Source organism: Homo sapiens, chromosome 6 (genome assembly GCF_000001405.40).
Source record: "Homo sapiens chromosome 6, GRCh38.p14 Primary Assembly".
Lineage (NCBI taxonomy): Eukaryota > Metazoa > Chordata > Mammalia > Primates > Hominidae > Homo > Homo sapiens.
This window is the reverse complement of record NC_000006.12, coordinates 112,009,125-112,010,976: the sequence shown is the minus strand read 5'-3', so window position 1 is coordinate 112,010,976 and position 1,852 is coordinate 112,009,125. Positions and strand designations below refer to the sequence as shown.

Sequence of the window (1,852 nt, the reverse complement as noted above, 5' to 3'; positions counted from 1 at the left end):
TCCTGTATGTGTGAATTGATGAGGTCTTAGGGTGCTGGGGGAAGTAGGGATGTCTCTTTTTGTGAACTATATTCCCTCTAATTTGGTTTATGCATCCCAAATATAGGCCTAGAACCTATATAAGTTGTACTGAGGAGCACAGAGGGGGCTTTTATAGAATGCAAGGCAATATGGCTTTCTTCTAGACCCTTTAACAGCTCCCATCCATGCCATGGACAAAGCTGTAGGTACTCTACAGAAGACCTGATGCTTTCTCCAGCATCTCAAGCCAGCTGGTCTCCACCCTCACTCCGAGCAAATCTGTTCTGTCCTGTATCTCCCTTCTCTGTTCTGGTGCCTCATACCTAGTTTCCAAGCACTCTTCCCTGCCTCTTCAGATCAATGCTCCATGTTTAGTCTCTGCGTGGCCCTCATTTCAGACTTTGACTTGGTGCCATCTACTGGATTTTCCCTGACTCCACAACCAGCCACCCACAGAGCTCCCCATACTAGCTCAGTGTCCCAAATTGTAGACGAGGTCAAAGGCCCCAGAACCCCCATCCAGGAAGGCAACTTGGATTGTCTTGACTGCACTCCCTTCAGAAGTCACTCTGACTGTGAAGGAATCCCCCCAGAAGGCGTATTCAAGATGAAATCTATCAACGTTTGGCCAAGATTCAGAACCTCCAACCCTTCCACCTGCCACTGTAAGACTGTGAGGGAAGGAGATAAAAGCCTTTTCCCCCCAACCAGGAGAAGGTACTCTCTTTGATCCTATGAGTCATGGGTCACAAATAATATGTCCCCAGGGGTCAGGCAGGCCACAGAAATGGTGAAGTGGGCCAGGAAGAAAAGCAGAGGGAACCATGACAAACTGAAGAGTATGCCAGCTACAGGAGTCCACCAGGACTGCTATAACAAAGTACCACAGCCTGGGGGCTTACGCAACAGAAATTTATTTTCTCACAGTTGTTGAGGCCATCTTCAAGGAAGTTCAAGAGCAAGGTGTGAACCCAGCTGGTCTGGGACTTCTCTCCTGGCCATATAGATGGCTATCTTCTAGTGTACCTACATGATCTACCCTGTGTCTGTCTGTGCTAATTGCCTCTTTTTACAAGGACAGCAGTCATATTGGATTACGGCCCAACCCTCATGCCCTCATTTTAACTTAGTTATCTCTTTAAAGACCCTATGTCCAAAAATGGTCACACTCTGAAGTACTAGGGGTTAGGACTTTGACATGTGAATTTTGGGGGACACAATTCAGCCCATAGCCCCACCTACATGAGGAGCCATTGCTTGACTTCTGCCGATGTCTGCTAGGAGAATAGGGGCCCAATTTTGACAGAGCATCTTATTTTTCAGAAGGAAGCAGACATCTGGAATTTCACATGAAATCCCCAATTTTTAAACATGGACAGCTAGTTTTATTTTATTTTTATTTGCCCTCACTCTTGCTGTCATCCTATAATTTTTATTTTTTTAAGTATCATGAGGGCTGTAGGTGCCCCCAGGCAGCAAGTCTGTGACCTCTTCAATTAGCATATGGTTCTCTGTGAAACCCACCACAGAGGCTGACTCCTTGAAATGCTTGAGATTAGGTGGCCCAAGCAGCAGATGCTGAAGGTAGACTGGCCGGCCTCCTGGGCCTCTTCTCCGGCAACACACTGATCTCAGCCCTGCAATGGTGGGAAGGGCCGAGGGAAGCTCAACCTCATGAAAGAATGGCCAAGCAAAGAGTGCATTTCTCTCTACAGCCTTGGCCCTGGGAGTTGGCATCCTGTCCCAGGCCTCTAACCAATCCTGCTTGGCCTTTCTAGGGCAGGAGATGGCACCAGGTGACAAGTGGCCCAAAGAGAACAGGGAAGACTGG

The 1,852-nt window shown here is 47.9% G+C and overlaps 1 annotated feature.

Annotated features, from left to right (window-relative positions):
- Window positions 317–611: an enhancer, noted in NCBI's record as "tiled region #11311; HepG2 Activating DNase matched - State 12:CtcfO". NCBI's record gives its function as "activates a minimal TATA promoter and a strong SV40 promoter by Sharpr-MPRA in HepG2 cells {active_cell/tissue: HepG2}" and the evidence as "EXISTENCE:reporter gene assay evidence [ECO:0000049][PMID:27701403]".